The 24,051-nt window shown below is 37.2% G+C and overlaps 1 long non-coding RNA gene across 1 annotated transcript in view; it reads right to left on the bottom strand.

Annotated features, from left to right (window-relative positions):
• Positions 1-1,808: 1,808 nt before the first annotated feature.
• Positions 1,809-24,051, bottom strand: part of PKN2-AS1 (PKN2 antisense RNA 1) — a 147,692-nt gene continuing 125,449 nt past the window's right edge. The window contains exons 3-4 of the long non-coding RNA NR_110682.1: positions 21,200-21,344; positions 1,809-4,955 (exon numbers count right to left, since the gene is read on the bottom strand). This is a non-coding gene — a long non-coding RNA (PKN2 antisense RNA 1). The remainder of the gene's footprint in view (positions 4,956-21,199; positions 21,345-24,051) is intronic.

Below are 24,051 nucleotides of genomic sequence, written 5' to 3' on the forward strand. Positions count from 1 at the left end.
GGCACACTAGTTCACTAGTACTATAACAGTGTATGAGAAAGCCTATTTTTTCCATACTCAGCACTGGATATTACCATTCTTTTTCATCTTTGCCAATCTGAATGATGAAAAATGATATTTCTGCACATTTCTTGAACTATGGATGAGGATGAGCATTCTTTTTATGGTTACTGTTCAAATTCATTTTTAACATTTCTGAACATTCAAATTCTACTGAAGGCCCCTGTCCCATTCTCTATGACAGATGAAAGAAAAAAAATGAATTGAAGCAATATGTTATTATTTCCTACCAAAATGAGTGCTAATAATAACAGCAAACATTTATTACGTGCTTACTATATACCAAGCACTTTATGCACATTTCTCTTTAAAGTCTCACACTCTCATTGAATCAAAAAAAATCTTGAGGATGATTATTATCCCCATCTTACAGAGGAAAAAAACAGCGATTTGGAAAGCTTAACTAACGTATGTGGCAGAGTAAGGACCCAGTGGGAACACAGATCTACCTGAAGCCAAAGTCTGCTATACGACTATGTTTCTAAATTCAATCTGATGTTTTTAATTTTCATATTAAGATGGCAAGCAGTCCTGCATCTGGTTGAATTAGAGCATAAAATAATCCTTAGCCACAGAATGACATTGTCTAATACCTAGCAAACCCTGAGGATATTAACCAAAAGGAAGAATGTTACCCAAACTCTATGTGCCTGGCCAGGAGCTGAAAGCAACTAGGAAAGCTGAGTGTGCATCACTCATCTTGAAGCCTCATAAAAGAAAGGAAATTGTATTTGCAAGTCCAATTTCTGAATGTTTGAGGAAGCCTCGCAGGAACACTGCAGTGAGGAGTTAAAATGAGGGCCCTGAGAGGGGATGTGGATAATATAGTGTGTGGGGCTCTCTACTGCAGGGTATGTAAATACTTTATACACTAATTCAATTACATTTTCAGATTATGCAGGAAGACTGATTTAAGCAACAGTTCACACTGCTGCCCCATCACCCATGCATGCATGCAGGAGAACAGAGTTAAGAGACCTGGGTCGACCTTAACTCTGTATTTCTTGACTTTTATGGGCATAAGTTGGAACTTTAATGTTTTATTAATGTCGAGTTTTTGGAGTTGGTATTCAAAATGTTTCAAGCAAAGATATGACAGATCTCAAATACCTGGAACCTGTTCACATTGGCAGGTAGTAAAAAAAAAGTCCACTATCTTAGACAAATTATTGACCAAAGAACTCAGTGGGATTATTTTGCTTAAATTATTATATAAAGGATTATGATGCCACAAAAAGTGAAAATATTTAACTTGCAATTATTTATATATTGGCATGGATAATGTACATACTTATGAACTTTTGAAAGTCCCTGTTCCAATGTATAATTAAATACGTTCTTAAATTGATCATCTTCAGCAAATGGGCAATAAGGAGCTATGAATAAGATTTGCTCAAAGCACAAAGGAAATGAGCTAATTCTTCCATGTGCCTCAAAAAGTCAAGAAATTATAGTGTCTTCCTTTTTATTTGTATCATGTATTGATTTACGCAAGAAGTCCCTTCCAAAACCTTAAGGCGCTGATTGTATTTATTGTTTTCTAGAAGAAAATTCAAAGATAAGCCAAGGTTGCAATTTTCAGTAATAAAAACTTTTCTGTCAGACTGGTTCTCTTCTATTTTAAAAGGTTTATCCTCTGGAAAATAGTGAGATTTATGTAATAATTTTCTGAGGGAAGAGGGTGGAGTTACATTGAGAGTTTATTTCACCTTTTTTGCATCTGAATAAATAAATGTATTTGGTGACATGTATTTTCCTTGAAAATATTATTTAATGACAGATTCCCTTTTGAAAGGCCAAGGATCAATGTGCTGTAAAAATTTTAATCAGATTGTTAACCATTAATGAGTGTTAACACGTTTTCTCAGTGTTACTTGTGTTTTTGCCAACGTTTATATGACTTGCTTTACCTCTTTCCCAGTTCATTTGCAATTTTCACAGGTTTTATTAGGGAGATTTTTATTTTTCCAGAAACCGAAGATTTTAGGTTACACGTTTCCATATTCATAAATGTCTTGACTATGAAGAATAAAGTGAAAAAAGATTAAAACTGGGCAAAAATACTGCTTATAAAACAGTCATTCAGGAATAATCATATCAACTAAAGCAACTGCTTGTGCAAAGACAAAGGGGGCCAAATCCTGTCCTTGGATGTGCACACACAGCTCCTATTAGCCGTTGAAAACAGCTACGTGAGTGTAGCCAAGGACAGTGTTTAGCCCAATTTGGTCTAATTTATCCAGACCACTGCAGCCATGAAAGATAAAGACAGATTATAAGACATTTTGCATGTCAGTACAGTAGTATGCTTTGTGTTTTTCCAATCCCCAGGGTTTCCTAGATCAGGCCAAATGTCAGTGACTGCATCCGAGAAGTTTGAAAAGTATATAGAGCAAATTTATATACTTTGCAATGCTACTTGCCATAGTTGGCAGCCCTATCTCAGAGGATGCATTCTTTCAGTGTTGGGGTCCAGACTATAGCAAATTAAATTTACCAAAAAGAAACAGCCTTAGTCATGTGCAAACAAAAATAAATGCTAAAACAGAAATAGAAGAACATTTGTTTTAAACAATTTTTTAAGATACCAGTCAAGAGATATTGAACTATGTGTTTTACTCAGAATGGGGCCGTAAGTCATAGGACTGGCTTTGTAAAAGCCAGTGCTTAGAAGATTGGTGAAAGAGTCATCAATTCCCCACCAAATTGGTGCCTCTGTGCACTATACATATCTTGAATATCAAATAACTTATCTTTCTTATACAATATTATAGAAATTATCCAGTAATGGGACCACCATTCCCCTATTTTTTCTTTCACTGACATTTCACAGAGAGAAAGAAAAAAATGATTTGGCAAACTCCTTTGTAAATCCATGTCAAACAGCACACTGCCAAATATGTTCTGTTTATTGAAGTTAATGGATACCCAGGGATATTTGCTCTTGTGGTGGACACTTATTTGACACTTCTTATTCGCTGGCAACTTTTGAATGCTTCTTGTCTGCTTCATGTGTCTGGTAACCCAATCCAGGGCTTCTTACATGAGTAAAACTCCTATTGATGTCAACAAAATACTTGACATGAGTATAAGATGTATCACTAAGGCCATCTCAAAACTTTTGGGGACATGTCAAGAACAGATTAAGGGAGAAAGAGAGATTTATGAGTAATTTGTCAAATTTCACAAAATGTAAGCTGATATTTTATGTAAATGTTATACCATTCTCTAGAGAAAGAAACATTTCAAATTCCATAAATCTGACATGCTGATGGAATGTGTGTGTGTGTGTGTGTGTGTGTGTGTGTGTGTGTGTGTGTGTGTAGGGAAGGGAATACACACATGTGTGCATCACACAGTTATACAGTTATACTATGTGCTTAGACCTGTCAGGTTTAATCTATAGCAGTAGTTCTGCAAACGGCTTAACAAGCTAAAAAAAAAATAAAGAACAAAAATGTTTAAACTTTTGGCCAAAATAAAGCAACTGAATGTGGTTTTAAATTGTCCACACCATGCTTTGCTCTTTTCTGGAGATGACAATGAATTCAACATGCCCATAAAATTCCAGAGAAGGTACAGATTAATAATGATGTTGGCAGCATGATGAGTGGAAAGTTTGGGGAGACTGCAGTAAAAATATCAAGCTATATCCTTCCTTTTTCCCTAAGAGAAGTAACATCCAAGAGCCTACATGGTTCTTTTCTTTCTTTCCCCTTGAATTTGCAAAAGTTGATTGGAAAAGTCTGCTCCTGGTTTTAAGGCTGAAGTTGGTCATCCGGACCATGGATAATTGCAAGATAAAGGTCTGTGATGCACAGCTTGTGAAACAGGAACCAAAATCAATGCAGATGATATACTGGGAACTTCATACTCCAAAGGCACAGGGAGTTAGACAAAGTTTCAGGCAGTAAAGGGTTAACAATCCAAAGTTAAACCAAAGAAGGCTGAGAGTCAAGAAACTGGGTTGTCTGAGAAAGGGTGCTTGCCTCCTCTGAGACATCAGCCACTAGCATCATCCCAAATAATTTGTTCATTCACTGCTTCTGCTTTTTGCTGGGCTTGTGTAGCCCTGGAACTACAGGAAGAAAAGGAATGAAAGGACTCTTCTGCTTGGTACAAGGACAATTGTGCTAACATTATCAGGTCATTTTGATGGTGCCACTCTAGTGAATTGAACAATTCAGCACTCTGAGGCAGTCCCCTAAAGGTCATCATCACGTAGATCTAATTACAGTGGCAATTACATGACAAGGAATATGGACACCTGGAATTTTCTTTCTCCACTCTGCGGCTTGCATATTTTTTCCCAGTTTCTCAATCTGTGCATTGAAGTTAATAATAATTCATGTACTAAAGTATCTTGAGCTTCAGGGGGAAAGTTTGAGAATTATGTAGATAGAAGTGCTATTGTTTATAACAACAACAATAATAGCAATACTAGCTTCCACATATTAAACACAAACCATGTGCTCCATAACATACTAGGTAGTTCACACAATATTTCATATTCATAAAAATTCTAGGAAGTGGGTTTATTATCCAAGTCATACAGATTTTTTTTAATTATGGGTTCAGAGAGAGTAAAAAATTTTCCCCGCTTCATACAAGTAATTCAAGGTATAAGCAGAGTTGTTATATTTGCATAAAAACTGGACTCCAGGTTTGTGCTTATCAGCTCTTGGGTTAATATGGAACCAGGGTCAAATCCTCACCAAGAAGAAGGTTGATTTTTATTTGTATGTCCACCCTTTCTGAAAGTCATCAGAAAGATTCCTGGTTCCACATATATAAATGTGTCTGTTACCTTTTCTCAGTACCCTTGTGATTACAAGTGCTTTCTTCTCCTTGTAACATTAGGTATCATGGATATCTTCGTTTCTGTTTTTGTTTCTCTAAAAAATAAGAAGAAATGGATAAATACTCACAATATGTTTGTATCCACAAATGAAGCTGAATTGAAATTGGTAATAAATGGTCTCTCAAATATTGTTTTCATTTGCTAGTGCTATACCTAATGACTGACAATTTCCTCATCTTTATTCTCAAACAAGCTCAATGGCATTGGTGTTCTGAGCATTGTATGAAAGAAAGACAAGTCCGGATTTTTTTTTTTATTTGACTGGTAAACTGATTTTACAAGATTGGCAATTTGTATTCACATCCTGATATTCTTTGGGAACTCATCAGGGCCTCAGTACACCAAACAAGGTGATAATACAAAAGCAAAGAACTGTTAACTATTTCTTGTATCACCAAATGTTCCCAATATCCTACACAACAAACTGGTACTTTGTGAGTTGAATTTTTAAAGTCATCCTTGAAACTTTTTCTTTAGGCATTTTTTTTCCTTATGCTAAACTTTTTGAAAAAAGAAAACTCACTAATGTTTAATTAGAGTATTTTTCCAACTCTATCTGTCTCTATGACCTACACCCCTGCTGAGTCATATTGGTCAAGGCCATCTCTCCTGTGGAGTATCTCCTTCAGCCCTCCAAGGCTGCTGTGTTAGGCCGTTCTTGCATTGCTATAAAGAAATACCTGAGGCTGAGCAATTTATAAAGACCTTTAATTGGCTCATGGTTCTATAGGGTGTACAGGTGTGGCATGAGCATCTGCTCAGCTTCTGGCCTCAGGAAGCTTACAGTCATGGCAGAAGGTGAAAGGGGAGCAGACACATCGCATGGCAAGAGAAGGAGCAAGAGAGAGAGAGAGAGGAGGGGGCCAGCCTCTTTTAAACAAATGGCTTTTGCATGAACTCGCTCATTACCAAAGGGATGGCCTTGAGCCATTCATTAGGGATCTGCCCCGTGATCCAAACCTCTGCCCCATGATCTGCTCCACCTCCATCCTTAGGGATTACATTTCAACAGGAGATATGGAGGGGCAAACATCCAAACTATATCAGCTGCCTTTCAGGAAAAGAGAAAAATTGGTATCTGAAGCTCTCTGAGCATATGAGAAGAGCATTTGGTTCATACGAGAAGAGATCACCACCCCCATCTCTCCTCTTTTTGCCATTTTACTCCTTTGTCTGCCAAAGTACACAGCAACAAGAAGTTCCAAGAAGACAGGAACCTGGCATGCCTTATCCAACATCCTATTCCTAGTGCACAGAATAGTATCTGAGAACCTGACAGATGCTCATTAAATATGTATTAAATAAATAAAAAGTCATATCTGAATATGGGGGCTATCAAGGAATTTTGATTATCCAAAATGAAAAGTTTTGATTCTCCATTCCTCGGGATCAGAAATCATAAGTGCTTGGTATGATTACAACAGGTTCACACTGCCTCCTCTCTCCTTCCTCAGAGCTAAAAATCTGTCTCTATAATTGTTTCTGGTCACAAAATTATATACGTATATTTTGCACCATTGGGACATTATTATCTGGGCATCTTGGCTACTGAAGACTGATCCTTTCCCCATTCAACATAGTAGGTTTGGGTAGAAGGGTGGAAAGGTTAAAAAACAAATCTAAAACTTCAGTACGTAACAAATGAAAGATATAAGATAAAATTATAGGACACTTTCTGGAAAAAGTTATGCCCAACACTACTGATTAATTTACAATATGACATTATAGTGGTGTCTAATTTGTTATATAACTTTTCCCAATTTAAAATAGGAATGTATTAAATAGAATTTCTAAAATGTCCCATTCTAATCTCCAGACTGTGAATATGACAAAATATCACGCCCATAAATATATTACATCACATGGCAAAAGGAGCTTTGTAGATGTAATTTAGGTTGCTAATCAGTTGGCCCTAAAATTAGAAGATCACCCTGGATTATGCCAGTGGTCCCAATGTAATCATATGAGTCCTAAAAATCTGAGAACATAGTCAAAGGGTGAAATCTAAGAGAATCAAAACCACACTTGCCATGGCTGGTTTGAAGAGGGAGGAGGCCAGGTGAAGAGAAATTTGAGTGGTCTTTAGCAGCTAACAGCAGCCCCCAGTTGACAGCCAGCAAGGACAGAGGGACTTCCATCCTACAACTGCAAGGAACTAAATTTTGCCAACAACCAAACAACCTTAGAATGGAATCTTCCCAGAGCTTCCATATAAGAGGCTAGCTCAGCCAATACCTTGATTTCAGCTTTGTGATACACTGAACATAGAACCCAGTCAAGCCATCCTGGACTTTTGATCTGTAGAAACTGTGAAATAATAAATTTGTGTTGTTTTAAGCCTCTAAGTTTGTGGTAATTTTTACAGCAGCAATGGAAAGCTAATAAAGGGAATGATAGAGTATCTGGCTTCACATCCTTAAAAATAAATATTTATAAAGAGTTTAAACATAAGAATAAATTTTTACTTGCAGGGTATTTTTTTAATGTTCAAACTGGGAAGCATTCTTTATGGTTCTATAATGAATGGAAGGGTGAGAGGGGTGGGGAAGATAATCCGACAGAGGTATATGCTAAAAATTAATATCAAACATTACCCAGGGAAGTTGAGTCACTCAGTCAACCAGCCTTGATTGTTTATCTGTTATCCACAAAACATCAAGCTGAGCAATGGAGATAGAGATTAATCAAATACAGTCCTAGTTATAGACCCTATTCTATAACAGAAAAATAACATGAAATGTGAGAAACGCTATCATTTTTATGGGTAAGTGTGCCACGATAGGATAGAAAGGAACTGAAGATAATTGAAAGGGATAGCTCAATCCATTACCAAGTCTTTTCCATTATTGTTCTTTCATGTCACTAAAACCCACCACTTATTTTTACCTCTATATATCCATATTACCACTCTATGGGATCAGACCAAGGCCATCTTGCCTAGATTTCTGCCACAGCCTTTTAACCCAACTTCCTGCCACCACTCTTACCATCACCAAATTCATTATCGCAGCAACCAGAGTGATATTTCCAGAATATGACTGTGATGATATTACTCCTCTGTATAATATTAACATTTTTCAGTAGTTTCTCATTGCCTTTATACAATTTCCAAACTCTTTAAAAATGGCTCATGTGGCCTTCCATGACCTGGTCCCTGCCTCCTGTCCAGCCCATTTCTTACAATACACACCCTAACCCCTGTGCTCCAATCACACTGAACTCCTTGAAGTTATCTGAACATTCCTGTCCTCTCTCCTTTGAATTTTGGTAGAATTGCTCCTTCTTCCTGGAACTCTCACCCTTGGCCCCACATGACCTAGACTGTTCCTAATCATCCCTCAAGCTTCTGTCTAGAAGTAAGTCCTCTTTGACCCCCACAAGCATAGGAGTGAGTATTTTCCATGTGTAGACTTTACATCATGAATTGTATTTGCCTATTTACTTGTCTTTCTTCTACCCTACATTGTAATATCTGTGCGGGCAGAGACCGTGTTCCACTCCCCTTTGTATCTCAAGAATCGGAGTAGTAGATAATCAGTAAAAATATGCATACTGATAAGTGTGCTGGAAGCCAACAGTTGGAAAATATCAAAAAGTCAGAAGAAGTTGATAGTGTTAAAAGATGAGACAATATTGAAAATTGGAAATGGGCCACTTGGCCTAGTGTTGGCCAATGGGCTATTGGATCTAGCATTAGGAAGTCATCTTGCTTGTAGGGGTCAAAGAGGACTTATTAGTCATCTTAGCAAGACCAGCTTCAGTTGGATAAGAAGTGAGTGGGAGCTGAGGAAACAGACAGTGCTTTTGTAGAGAACAGAAAGCATACTCAAAGCACAACTTTAAAAGGCTTCATAGTTCAGAAAAATGTCTAACACTCCATCTCCTGGCAGAAAGGGCCAAACTTTGGCCCAAAAACTAAGGTTGAGACATAGTTTAAGTGAGGAGTATGTGAAAGCTACAATCAAGGAAACCATAAAACCAAAAATTGAGTATCCAGAAACAGCTCTCTGAAGGCAGGGTGAAAAACCAAGCAATAGAGAACAAAGAATATGAGCTAGAAGAGAAAAGAAAAGGACAGGACATGAGCTCCTAGGTGATTACCTGGAATAGGTGTGGCCTTCTTTTACTAACTCCCAGTGCATGGTGAGCAGGGAGGAAGACGGTAAGTAAAAGAGGGCTGGCTGCACACAAACGGCCAAGGTAGATAAGATGAGAGTTGGGAGGAGGTTAAAGCAATAGGAGATGGGGAAGATTAGATTTGATCATGTCTGTAGGCTGAAGAGAGGGAATCAGAGACAAGAGAAAGAAAAAAATTTACATCTAGGGAGGAGGTCAGAGGAGATAGAATCCAATGAACCCAAAAAGTTAATACTGGGATGAAAGAAAAACCCTCTTACTTTAAGACTGAAGAAGAAATATTAAAAGATGTGTGCTTCTTGGCCAGGCACAGTGGCTCACACCTGTAATCCCAGCACTTTGGGAGGCTGAGGCTGGCAGATCACTTGAGGTCAGGAGTTCAAGACCAGCCTGGCCAACATGGTGAAACCCCGTCTCTACTAAAAATACAAAAATTAACCGGGCATGTTGGCACATGCCTATAATCCCAGCTATTCGGGAGGCTCAGGCAGGAGATTCGCTTGAATCAGGGAGGTGGAGCCAAGATCGCGCCATTGTACTCCAGCCTGGGCAACAAGAGCAAAACTCCATCTCAAAGAAAAAAAAAAACAAAAACAGGTGTGCTTCTGTAGGCGAGTCTGTAGGTGGAAGCGAAGAAAGTCCAAGGAGATAGCTTGGAGCTGCTATAGTCTCTGTAAATTATGAAGTAAGGGTAAAGGCTGAGAGTGAGGGGCATGAGTAGAATGGCATGAGTTTAAAGGTTTCAAACAGCTGCCTCAAGAGGAATTCTAGAGGGAGTCCTTCGGGGACAAGTGAGAGAGGATTGCCAAGCTGCATTGAGAGCCCAGCCAAAGTTACATAATTAAAGAATAATGATTATTTTTCCTGAATCTTAATTTCCATACACATCCAGAAAATGCTGCCCTGCTTGCATATGTTGCTGCTTCCACAAAAGAAGCTAAGTTTGAGAGAAAGAAAATCCAATTGAATTTTTAAAATAATTTCTTTTGTAAAATGGTTTTGCAAGTGTCTGTGGTTAATTTCCAAATACTGGAAAGTCAACAATTTTTGTAAATCACAACCACGTGTGTTTTATGCTTATATGTGTTTCTACCTTTTCACATTTGGTTTAAAAAAAAAAATTACAGGTGGGGGTAAAAACGTCAGCCAACAGGGTTTTGTGGATCACACAGCCCCATGCAATTAAGGCGCCATTGTTAATTTTCAAATTGTCATAATCCATTTGAGAATTTGAGACAATTCAAAAAACAATTATGAGTGAATGAAAAGTGAATTGGGCAATCAACTGAGATGAAATTCAGCCCAGAGAAACAAAACGTCGAGGAAAAAAATCCTAGATTATGGGAAGAATGAAAGGCCCATGGAAGGGACTGATTGTGTGGGGATGGTCTTTAAAGGCCAAAGTTACTTGACAAGAAGGTGGTAGGGGCTTGTTTTACACTGAATGGGATTTAGCTGTTTCCTTAAGTGCAGCAGATTTGGCTTTTTCATTTTTAAGTTGCATAATAAAAATGTTTAAGCCTACCCAGATGCACATAGATATAGCTGTATGTTGTTTACCTAAGACTATCATATAGCAGCAAATAAACAAAACTAGTCCCCACAGACATTATGGAGCAGCTTGCTGCAAAACAGAATTTCAATTGCTTATTCTGATTCTATGAGGGAAGATTAATTTGTGATGCATCTAAATGAATTATTTCACCCTAAATCTAAAACTTGAAATTATCATGCCCCATAATTTTTCATTTTTGAACTTGAAATAATGTAGGTAAGAGGATCATCTTTATCTTCAAACAACCTAAAAACACTCTGGCATACTCTATGGAAGGCCACGCTAATGTGTTCCAAATTAATGTTTAAAAATTTCTGTTCCCTGAAATTTTACATTCCACACAAGCAAATAGGCCCATGGAGAGGAGTCAAATATTATTACATGATGGCTCCTGTCCTTTTAAATTCTTCTTGCTAAACCTCTATTCTCATCTAAGCCATTTCCTCCTCTTCCAATCATCATTCTATGCCTTTTTTAAGGCATCAGCCTTAAAAGATTCATCAGATGCTTTCCTTGATAAGTCACAAACCATCATGATTTTTCTCGTGGTTTAATTCCCTCTGAACTCATTCATTCATTCACTTACTCATTCATGCATCGTTGTGCACCTACCATATGGGACCTCCATAGCATCAAGTTCAGTGTTCTCCATGCAAAGTGCATTTATTCTATGCCTCCTTAGGGTCCTGGACCTATGCTAAGCACAATAAAACTTATAGGAAGAAGTAAGTGTATGCAATGATTTGTTTCTTTCAAAAAGACTTAAAGCAACCAGCTGTCAAAAACAAACTATAGTACAGTAACATGACATACAAAATAAAAGAAAAAAAGTCAAGCAATAAAGGAGAAGAAATTTATATCAAAACTCTCTGCTGAATTTCTAGCAGTTACAATGGAGAAATTAAATGGATCATGAAGCCCTCATTCTCTAGTAAAAGAAATGCTATTTCTTTTAAAAAGATTGTAAGTTGAGCAGGAATAACAAAAACATGGCAATGCTGGTACTGCTAATGCCACAGCCTCAGAATCATTCTTTAAAGAGCATACCAGTGAGCAACTACTAATTCATCAGAGATGCCACTCAAAAAACAAATTCTTCTCATTATCCCTTGTATAAATGAAGTTTTTCCCTCAAGAATTTTGTCATTTGAAAATGACAATAAAGCATGCATACCTGTAAAAATTGGAGAACATTTTACAACTAAACTGTGTGATGCTAGTTAATTATTTCTGATACTTCTTTGTACCCCTGCTAGCAATGAATGTATTCCTTGCCCATGGTGGGCACATAAAAATCATTGCCTACTTAACTTACAATGCAACATGATTTCAGAGACAGAGGACTCTGCTAGTGAGAAATCTTCCTTGCAGAGGAAGAACGGAAACCGAGCCTAAAAAGATGAGTTTTTGTTGAATGAGTGAACTAAGATCTTGAATCAGTTAACTTTTTAGAAGAGGTTGTTTTTAAAATCATAATAACTAAACTTTGAATCTGTACTCTTGCATAGCGACTTCTCCATCTAAGGTGCATTTTCCCAATAATTATTTGTTCATTTTATACTGAACCCTGCTTTCTTCTGCTTTCAGACTTTAATATGTTAAAAATCCACAGCTACCAACTCGGTGTGTTGGCCTTTATAGCCACACAAGAAAGTAGGGGGCAGTTTGTTGATGCCCTCCACTTTGTCTTCTTGAGATCCGCAAGAGTTTTGTGTCATCTAAGGAAGCAGAAGTTCCTTATAAGGTTTACAGTTCAAGGAGCAAAAGACCATTTTAATTGCATCAATAATCCACTCAACAGCACCTACTGGATTTGTCTACTAAATTAGCCTTTGATTTTCATCTCCAAAAAAGAAAAAAAAAATTCATTTTCATTTCCTTCCTGTTGCTGGTAGTTAAAGGTTACAATACGAAAAAGCATATACGCTGTAGACTCCCCCAAATCAGTAAGTACTCAAAATTGTGTGCAAAATATGAATAAAATATTGATTTCATTAAAAATGTTAAGGACTACTTAATTCAAAAACATTTTATATGTTTGCATATTTATTTCTAAATTTGCATATTTGTTTGCATATAACTTGTAAAGATGAATGTTAATTATACTTTAAAATCATTTATAAATTGTAACTAAGAATGTTGTATGAATTTTTAAAACTGCCAAATTCTCAAGTACCACTAATTATAAAGTGTCATGTAAAGTACACTGGAGCAGACTTCATATTGAAAAAATATTGAGAGCTTGACAAATAGAAAAGCAAAATTATTAACTGCGCTTGCTGATTAAATGATACCTCAGGCAAGTGAAACTTAAGTGACACTTCGTGCTTTTCCAAAGCATCCATTTACCGCCACTGAATTATGACAAGAAACTCATGCTCCTAACCAGACAAATATTTTACCTGATGCCTCCACATTATCCCATGTTTAAATGTGAGTTTCTGAGAATTAGTCCACATTTTTGTTGTACATATTCTGAAAATGACAAAGAATAAGTAAATAGGAATCATAATAAGCAGTAAAGCTACTTCAGCAGCACCCTGTGTCAAATGAGGTGAGCTGAGGCGATTTGACTGTGCACTAATTGGATTTGTAAAATGATTCAGAGTAATTTAAAAAGCATTTACACAAGGTCAGATCTGAACTGGTTTCTAAAAAGAACCATAGAGAAGAATGAAATGTCCAAGTAATTACACTGGACATGTAGATCTAACACTGTATCTATTAAATTGGGCATGAAATTGGACTTTTTTTAAGTACAGTAGGTCTTACACTATAAATCTCTAGACAATTTTCTATATTTTTGATAAAATGTTTAATTATACTAAGTACAGATATGTCATAGAAAGGAACTATTGCTCATGTACCATTTTTCCTAAATTAGCAACTACTGTAAGCTAATTTCTTTCTTAAATTTTGTAGAGTTGCAGCATATTGAAAATTGGCTGACTTGGTTTCAGTTTATTCCAATATCTACAGTCTTGCCAATAGAAAGAGACATTGTTATCACTTTCTCCTCCACCAGCACCATACCCCTTGTCTCTCTTAGTTTAGGGTTGATTTGTAAATGTCTTACTATAAAAAATAATTAATGCTAAATTATTCCATGTTGTTATATTATCAGTGTCCTATCTGAATCCATACTAATATAATTAGAGATAAAGTCGACACTGAAATAACAAGTAGCTCTTAAAGTTCCTTGCATGTTAAGTAGCATTTACTGTGCTGGCAGAACAGAATTTAGATCTCAAAAATAATTTGATATTAAAAGACAAAAGTAAACAAATTAGACTGTAAGTTTGTTTTTTCCCCCGGGTATTAATCAGCCCCAGTAAACCTTGTATTGTACTCTTCAAATCTGCATTAATCAGAATTTAGGTTTTGAAAGTCAAAAGGAAAAAAATTGTCTCCCTCTGGTGGGGAATATAACAAGTTTTTCTTTCCTTTTTTTCTTGCAGTCAATTTCAGCTAAGTTTCATGATGCTTTAAAAGAGTACACTTGGATAATCAGTTTATCATCTTTTAAACAGATTTTACTGTCTTTTGACATGATCAACACTCAGAAAATCCAGATTCAAAAGTCATTTTTACTTCTTTTACTTTTTTTTCCTGAATAAAAGGATAAAAGAAGGAAAATAGCCTATGTCAACAAGTAGGAAAGTTCTGTTTTACATGAAATACTCAGCTCTAAATGGACTGGGTGATAAAAATTTTATTTTAGAATCTGTTAGTTTTGAACTTACACCCCTGAATAAGCTGTTTCAGAAAAGAAAAGTCCTGGAAGACCACACCACACCCCCTTCACCCAGATCGTCTGTCAAGAGTTCCCTGGCTTCTCTCCTTTCTCTATAAGGCCAAAACACTTTCCCATAACCTCCATTGTATCACCCATTGCCTTACATTGCCATTCTTGTTTGTGTGTCAATATCTTCCGTAAGACTATGAGCCACTCAAAGAGAGAGATCCTGCCTCATACATCTCCAAGTCACTAGTATTTAGCTTGGTCTTCAGCACAAAGAAGAACTTACCTCTGTGCCAGGCAGTGTGCAAAGCTTTCAACATACAACCATGGAGAAGATACAACTGTTTCCTGCCTTCATGAAACTATAATCTAATGGGAAAAAATGGGTTGATCTGGAGTACATTTTACCATAGAAACAATATATTAAATAGCAACTACTAACCCACAAAAGCCTATACAGTTTATATTTGACGTTGAAATGAATTAAAATTTCCCTTTAGGCAGATTCATCCCTTAAAAGTTCTACAGAGTTATTCTCATTGTGATGTATAGAAAGAATTTTGAAGTACAACTTTGTATGTCTGGAACCATTCAGTTAACAAACATGTACTGAGTATCTACCATGTGTCAGGCACTGCACTAAGCCATGGAAACACATTCTGGTCAGGAATGCCAGGTAATAAATAAGTAAACACATTTTTAAAAGCTGAGTATGCTTGTAATTTGTGCTATGAAGGAAAAAATTAAGGTGACAGAGGATGGAGTATATCAACTGGTGTTCGAGCAGGAAACAGATTTTATACTCAATGAGGTAATTGATGAGAGTTTAATAAAGGGACTTTGTAAAATGTGTGGACACTATTAAGGTAAACGAGTAAGGGAAAGCAAAACACCTTAGAACTAGTAAAAGTGGAAGGTCACTACTACCCGTAGGCCTCAGTAGAGAGGGAAAGGAGCAGTTACCAGAACACAAAGAAAAAACTGTAGCTAAAGGAAAGATCTTCCAACAAGAACTCTGGTTTTCAGGATCAAACACAGCCACCAATGACTTGCAGTCCGGGCGTGGAGGGTCATAAATGCACTGATCTCTCTCTCCTCTGAGAGTACCCTGCCAAGTCTCCCTTTGATCAAACCCAACCAGAAGCCAGAAGACCATGAAGCTTTCTGCTGCTTTCCTTAAAGGTCAGCTTCCTGTCACCGGTAGAAAGAGTCTCTAAAGAGTGGCAAATGGAGAACAGTGATACAGAGAGTTATTAAGTCATCCAATGTTGGAAGAGGTGACATCAGAGCCAAAATCCACATAAAATTTTTTTGTAATGGGGACCAGAGCAAGTAGAGATTTTGAAATGGGAAAAGTCTTGGTGGCCCAACTCTACAACTAACTAGAAACTTAATGTTGTAGCAGTCACTCCCCATTTTCGGCTACATCAGTAAAATGAACAGATTGGACTATGATGACCTCTAAGCTCCCTTTCATCTTGAACCATTTGGAATTCTCTTTGAATTTCATGATTCTACCTCCTCTTAATATCCCCTCCCATGATGCTTCAATAGTATGAGGATACATTGAATGTTTATAAATTAGGGCCTCACTAGATTTTCTGAGAGTTGACAGTCCCACAAGTAAAGAAGAAGGGAAATGAAAAAACCTGCCTAGACTTATCTAACTCACAGAGTTTGCAGCAAATCTTTGGCCTATGTGTGAAAGCATATGAAGAGACCTGGCTCATGACATACCCAAAGCTGACACATCTTCATAGAAAATGGTTTAATTGAAATTATCCCAAGAATATGATTTACTCCTTTTGAAAATTTCACCAGAGTTTTTCTATTTTCAATCAAAACTTTTTACAAACCACATTTTAAAGTTGGCGAAAGAAAGTTCAAATGACATGGATTATCTTTCTCTTGGAACTAATATACATACATCAGGGTTTATTGTGACAGTCACAAGTGAAGTACACTAAATTAAATTATTATTCCCATCTTAACTGACTCACTGGGTAGAAATAAGTTCACGTGCCAATATAGGGGCTGGTTCTGGTCCACATGACTGTACCATTGGGATTTAAATTATCACAGTATTTGTGTACTAACTGGATGAAAAGTGGTAGACTTTTTCTTTTTTTTTTTAACTTTTTTCTTGCTTTCATGGAGACTGGCCTATACATGGAATTCTATGTAATGGGTCAGAATGCAATAGCAGAAGGGGTAGACATTTCTCAATCCAAAAACTATTAATTCATTCTCTTATTCATTCATTCCAAATTGACTTACTAAATGCCAGTCACCAATGTTTGTGTGTTAGATGGTAAAGAAGAGCTAGTATTCATGGAGCTAATCAGTAGGAGCTGCCACCACCAGATGTCACTAACTCCACCCCTCACCAATAATCCTCTGTGAGTATGGAAACACCTTTTTAACCTTAAAAGGTTTCATATTCACCACATTTGTACAAAAATAGGTACGTTTTAGTGTCTGTTAATTAAAAAAATACTTAATGACACATATGACAGCAAATTCAGTAATCCTTTCAATAAACATATTTATTCATCGTAAGAATCTCTACATATATTTGAAAGGAAGTAGTGCATTCATTCAGGAAACACTGTTTTGCCCATTGACAATATATCAGGTGCTTATGGAATTGTGGACCTTTTGCCATGCAGCCTAACCCCTCCCCAGAAATCTACAGACTTCAGGTACAGAGATACTGTGCTGAAGCCTGTGACGACCTAAAACCAGGCTGTGACCTCCACAGTCCCAATGCACTTGCCGTATTATGCCATAAGAATGATACCATGTTCATACAACGTTACTCTGTCAGTTTCTAGCAATGCTATTTTCTTGTCCCCAAAATCTCATAGTTTATATGAAAATAGTTTTCAGATGTTTTAGTTATATCCTCTTTCACATCACACCACCTTTTGCCCCCGACACAACTGCATGTTGGCAGGAGGAAGGCTGAACTCTTCAAAGAAACTCCACCTTCTTACCATAAGGATGATGGTTTTTAGACAAAGGATGTGTTTCGGATTCTCTTGTTACCTAGTATCATCCCTGCCCCCAAAAGACACTTCTCGATCACTCAGCTAAATGGACTCTTATCAGGTCCACCTCACTAATATGACAGATGTGCCATTAAATGTCCAAATCCCAAAACAAAACATAACTTGACCTGATGCTTAGCATGACTCCACCATGCTAAACAATAGGTAACACGTATCAAATAGTTGTATAGCCAATGCGCTGAGAGACAAGAGACAAATTGTCGCTAATTCTGCTGGGGGAAGAGTTCCCAGAAAGTACATTTGACTTGGGCCTTAAAGAGTAAGTACACTTGTTTCTTTTTCTTTTACTTTTTTTAAATTTATTTATTTTTATTATTATACTTTAAATTCTAGGGTACATGTATACTTTTAACACATCGTGGAGATATAAGAGTCATCCAGGGGAAACATTTCTGGGGAAAAATGAGAATAGAAGAGATCTGGAACATAACAAGCAGTCTAGGGACTCGGTTTTTTATTTTAGGCAATAATTACTGGCTTAGGCAGTTTAAGAAGTCAGTGTTGACCATTGCTTGGTAGACAGAGAAGCACACCAGTGAGGGAAAGCAGCATCCCCAAAGAGCAGATAGAAAAAAAAAAAAAAGATAAATGCCACAGTGAAGACAGAACCCAGGCCGAAGTAATCTTTTTCTCCTTCAAACCCTTTGGTACTTTTCATTCTACTCACATGGCACTTATCACAGATTACTTTGCCATCCAGTCCTTTATGTTCTTTTATTTTTTCCTCTAGTGGATTGTAATTGAATTCACACAAGGGGCAGCAATGTGATAGAGTGTAAATAGCAGAGGATTTGTAACCGGACAGTCATGTTCAAATCCTAGCTTCAACACTCCACATATATAACCTCAGACAGGTCTCTCAACCTCTGTTAGTTTTCATTCTTTATAAAATATGGATGATAATGCATATTTATGACAAAATGACAAAACGACTCTTGGGGTTGTTTTTAAGAGTAAGTGAATGAAGTAAGGCATACGAAGTCTAGCATACAGGAGACACACAACAAATATGTTTCTTCCCCAATCTAATCTCCACGTGAGAAAATGATTGTCTTCACATCTTTCACATAGTTGGTGCTCATTATGGGCTGAAGGCAAAGTAGTTGTGTTACAGCATTGCATTCCACATCACCCAGATTATACTGCCTTGAATAATTTGGATTGGTTTGTAGTCTACATGAAGTTTACTCCAAAAATCATTTATGAATCACCTTCAATTACTGGCACTGCTAGTGCCTAGAGCCATAAAGTATGTTCAACAGGGGCCTTGCACTCTGAGTGAGTTATTTCTTTGGTGACTTATCCCTATAGAAAAACTTTTAAGGAAATTAACCAATCATATGCTGAATGGGGTCACTAAACCCGAGTAATACAAGAATATATTTTTAGAGTCAGGTAACTCCTTCATGAGAATGCTTGATAATGCTATGAGGGCTTTAGACAAAAACTAATAACGCAGCTAAAATCAAGACTCTTACCAGAAGAAAATATCTGGGGAGAAAATGTTGCATTCTATGCTCACAAAACTTGTTTGATCTTATTAGTGAATTGGTCCTTTAAGTATGATATGGATGAATAGATTTAAAACTGGTTCAGTGGTATAATAAAATTCCTGTTTACACTTTTGTATAACCTCAGGAGCTGGAAAATCACTACCTCAGGTTGTGATCCAAGATGAGATTATTTAAGGTAGCACCGTGCATGATAGAAGCCTAAAGGAGAGAGGCCCAGTGAGGAACAGCTCAGACAGTGGCCACAAGTCATCTCCCAAGGACAGAATGTCCCACTATCATAGATAGAGCAGTACTAAAGGTGGCAGTACTTGTGGACAAACACAATAATCCAAAGATGCAGAAGAACAGGAAGAGATAAGAAAACTCAAGCATACCTTAGATAATCAAGACTAAGAGGCTGCTTAATTAGAATTGAATTGGAGTGGCTCGAAAATAAATTGTAAGTCGAGTTTAGGGAGAAACCTTCTCCCTAATCACATTGCCATTGTGACTGTGCTCTGTTCTCTCTCCTTTACTCCACTCTCTAGCGTCTTGACCCAATCCCTTATCTCTTTCTATATTTGTAAGGAGAGAATTTTTATCAGGCCCCTCACATTGGCTGGGCACTGTGCCGGGCATTCATACGTGGTATCTATTTCATATTACAATTACCCTAAGAATTAAGTGCTGGTATTAGCCCCATTTTGCAGATAAGGAACTCAAGACTTAGAAAAGTATGGACCTGCCCATATTTATACATAACTAAGTAGAAGAGCTGAAATATGAATTCAGGTCTGTCTGATGACAAATTCTGTGCTTCTTAGACTGTTCAAGTTTAGTATGTTACCCCTCTAACAGGTACTTATATTTTATACATTGATAAGTGTTGTTAAATTTTAAATTTATTATGTACTCTCAAAGAATTTTTAAAAATCATTTTAGACTCAAAGAAATATATTTCTAATGGCAAGATTTCAGCTGAGGTCCAGTGATAACTGGAAGCCAGGAAGATAAAATGAGCAGTAGAAAATCATCCTAGTTGAACTCAAATTATATCCCATAGGTGGCTAATGCAGCCAAGTCATAGGGCTAGATGTGAGTCAGAAAGAAAATGTTTTTGAACTTGCAACAGAGCTTCAAAGTGGTATGGTTGAAGGAGAGTGATAAGGTCGAACAAAAAACTGTCTCCAACTTAACCTCAAGAAATGGAAAAAAAAATGGGAATACACTTCAGAATGGGGATAAGAGCTGGATATACTGGTGCTGAACTTCCCTCCTCCCTAAAATACATTCTATGACTTTACTATTCATGAGTATAAATGTTGTCTAGGCTATTCCCAGTTTAAAAAAAAAAAGCAATTGGCCATATCCTTTTCAGCATTTTAATATTGAGCTATTATAATCTCACATTCCAGTGGCCTTCTAACTGCATGGTTATAGTCTCCTTACACTTACTCTGAAATTGTTTTTCCATTGTTATCTTACATTATAGTCGCATCGTAATGTCATGTTTAAAGGTTCCCCATACACTTGTAATGAAATCGTTTTACAGTTCAGAATGGCATCATATTGGCACTTTAAGCAGGGTATCCATCACCCTGTATTGATAGTTTTCACAACAAAACACCCTATTTTAGTGACTGTGAAAGTAAATAGCTGTTGCCAGTGATCTGTTCTTCCATTTCAAACTTAAATGGTCTCATCTGTTTTATTTTACCTTGCAATTTTCACACCCACTGTGGTATAGGCCAAATTTATACTAGTTGCTTTCAAATGAGGACTGTCATTCCATTGGCTCGTAAATGTTTATATGACAAGCCATTTATCTGTTTTGGTCTGGCCCTTGTGCAATAGATAACTCCTTACAATCTGATAATCAATACACTTTGGCCACTTTATTTGTAAAGCTAATGTAGATAAGTCTTCAGCTAATCAAAATCTAGAGGCAAATTATTTGGTAAACTTTTCAGATCAAACAAACTGAATATCTAAAAGCAATGTGTGCAACTACGAAAATTTTATAGCACACTAACACCAAAGAAAGAATTCTACTTCCAAATGGTCACACATGAAAAATTTGAGTGGTAATTTAAGGCAAAATTTAATGAAAGACAAGAAATTTAAGAAGAGTTAAGTGTTGTGTTATAATTATTACCAAAACCCAGACATTTTTATTTAATTTTTTTAAAACATCATCATCACCTCTTGTTGGTTAAACTTTGAGAGCTTAACAATTTGGTTCAAATCTCCACTTCAGAAATTAAATGTTACCTCACTTACACTTGGAAGTAGGCCAGGATGGGTGCAAGTCTCCTGACAATAGGCTTTATTTTCGAGATCTTTCTATTCTCTGCTACTAAAGGAGCCATTACTGCCTCCACCACAATTCCTCTACAGCTGTTTCGACAGTTCTTCACAGGTCCAGCTAGAAGTTGGAGGAGCAAAAGAGAAAATAAAAGTGATAAATTATTGTAAGAAAAGATTTCTGCTAGCATTTTCAAACTCAAATTTGGCATTCAGCTGGAGCTGGGCGCAAAGCTTCAGATAAGCTTTTATTGTATATAAAACTACTTCTCTTTTTTGGGGAGTTAACACTGATAATGAGGATGATGCAACTAGCAAATCAGTTGCATCCAAGTGTTAAAGACCATAAATCCACTTGTTTTAGCTGTTTTTGCTTGAGCTAATGCTCAAATATATTTTCTGTCAGGAAGCAAGTGGCAATAGCCGCAGCAAAGATATTGGTTCTTGGATAACCCAAGGTGCCCCAAGAAATGATAATAAATTCCTTAAAATCTCCTCCCCAAATTTGAATGCACTTTATTTAAAAGCTAAATATATGTTCTCCACAAGAGACTATGGCATGAGGTGAAAAGCCTAACTAAATATGAAATAGGATTAAGAATCCCTCCACAGTGCCCAGCCCAAATGCTACCATCTCGGTGTGAAGGTCCCCTGACTTTCATTTCAAAATTGCATTTAAAATAAACCAAAGACAAAAATTCTTATTTGAATGACCACACATGAAAAACTTGAGTGCAGTTTTAAAATATAAGCCTAATTATAGGCAGCTGAGTACTGCATGGGAAAAAAAAAATCATATAACCTTGTAGAAGGGCCTAACTATACAATCACAGTGTCTGAATTTCTCTTCCCTCTGGCTCTAAGAGCATTTTAACTGCTTATAATCAGCATCCTCTTCTACTCCTGAAAGTAACTGGTAGTTCCAGACTTTCTTCAGTCCCCACAGAGGCTCAACCCTGCCCCTCTCATTCATAGCCGTTGATACTGCTTCCCTCTTCATCGGGAAAATTGAATTCATTGGTGTGATCCCATCATCCAGCTTTCTATCTCATTGTACCCACCACAACCTACACGTGTATCTATGGCCACACACATTGACACTTTTCTTCCAGTCTCAGAGAAAAAGGTGAGTTTTCCTTTGTTTAAGACCCATCTTCTTCCTCTAGGAGCATCATTTAATCAGGTGAACCTCTCTCACATACATCTTAAGCCAGCCTCTCTGTCTCTCTCTCTCTCTCTCTCTCTCCTACTGTCTCCTTTTCAGCATATAAACATCTTCAAGCTACTCCCATCATTGAAAAAAATTCTCCCTCGATTCCATATCTCCCTTAGCCACATATCTGCCCCGAATCATGGTCTAGCTTCTCTCCCCACCCCACCATATCTCCAGCTAAACTTTTCAAAACATCAGCATCCATCATTTTCATTCACAGCTCCATTGCAGTATCCTCTGTACCTTCCTTTCTACTGGAATTGACCTTATTTCAGTAGTCATCTTTCTGTATTTCACTAGCTACACTGAATTCTGTTAATAATTATCTCCTCCTTAATGAAACTCTAGTATACCTAGACTTCAATTCAACCATCCTTTCCTGATTTTCTCCAATCCACTCACTATTTCTTCTCTCCTTTTGATATCAACTCCTCTTCCTCTACCTACCCCTTCAGTGGTGTTTCTTCACCTTCTAAATGCTATTCCTCCTTTACCCTCATAAAACTTCTTTAATCCTTGTGATTCTAAATACCACATAAAAGTGGATGTGTCCTTTACCTCCAACACTGACTTCTCTCCTGATTTTTCTGTTCATATATATAACTGTCCACTAAACAACTCTACCCAAGTGTCCCGTAGACATCATAAACTTAGCATGTCCAAAGTGGCATTTATCATCTTCTCCCAAACTCATCTCTTCTTGCTATATCCTCTTTCTAAATTAATATCACCTCTATCCCCTGAGACGCTCAAACCAGAAACTTAGGAATCACCCTTGACTGCCTACTTCATTCTCTACATTAACCAAGCATTTCTGACTTAGTCAATTAAAATGTTATCGAATATCATACTCTCTTCTCCATCCCTACTGCTTCTCCCTTAGTGAAAGCCCTGGTAATCAGAAGCTAGTCTCTTTAACAGCCTCTGTATCTGTCTGCCTTTATTTGGTCTTGCTGCCCTCAAACGATCTTCTGCAAAACCACCAGGCTGATATACCTAAAGGCCTAACCATACCATTCCCCTTCTTAGAAACCCTTTAGTTGCTTCTCTCCACAATTTTCCAAGCTCCTTCACGTTTCATACTTTGCCTTAAAGAGCTCTCTCCCCCTACTGATCTCTCCAGCTTCATCTCTCACTTCTCCCCGACTCATGTCGTATGATCTAGAAACACTTCAAAATTTCTCACAAATACCACTCTGCTTCACACATCCATGACTTCACATGGACTCAAGGGAAGATATGTGGGGTCCTTTCTCTAGTTTGACTTTGATCTACAAGTCAAACTGTGTGTATTTGTTGGCCTTTTATGGATTACATACTCAAATTGCCTCAGTTAAAGCAGTTTATTGTAACATAACTGGGGAAATAAGAGACAGGAAATCACACAAAAGCAACACAGAGCCAGACCTAAGGGAGCACTGGAATATCATTCTATATACAACAGTAACTCTAGTAGGGCAGGAGCAGTGGGGAGCACTCCATGGCCACTCACAGTTTCCCCTCCAGAAGTAGCTATTCATGGCTCAATTGTTCTACCATTACGGTAGTCCAACTGTTCATAGTGGTTCTGCTTTACTGGTTTGGGCACAATTGATTTATTTACTATCACCATACT

Source organism: Homo sapiens, chromosome 1 (genome assembly GCF_000001405.40).
Source record: "Homo sapiens chromosome 1, GRCh38.p14 Primary Assembly".
In the NCBI taxonomy this organism is placed as follows: domain Eukaryota; kingdom Metazoa; phylum Chordata; class Mammalia; order Primates; family Hominidae; genus Homo; species Homo sapiens.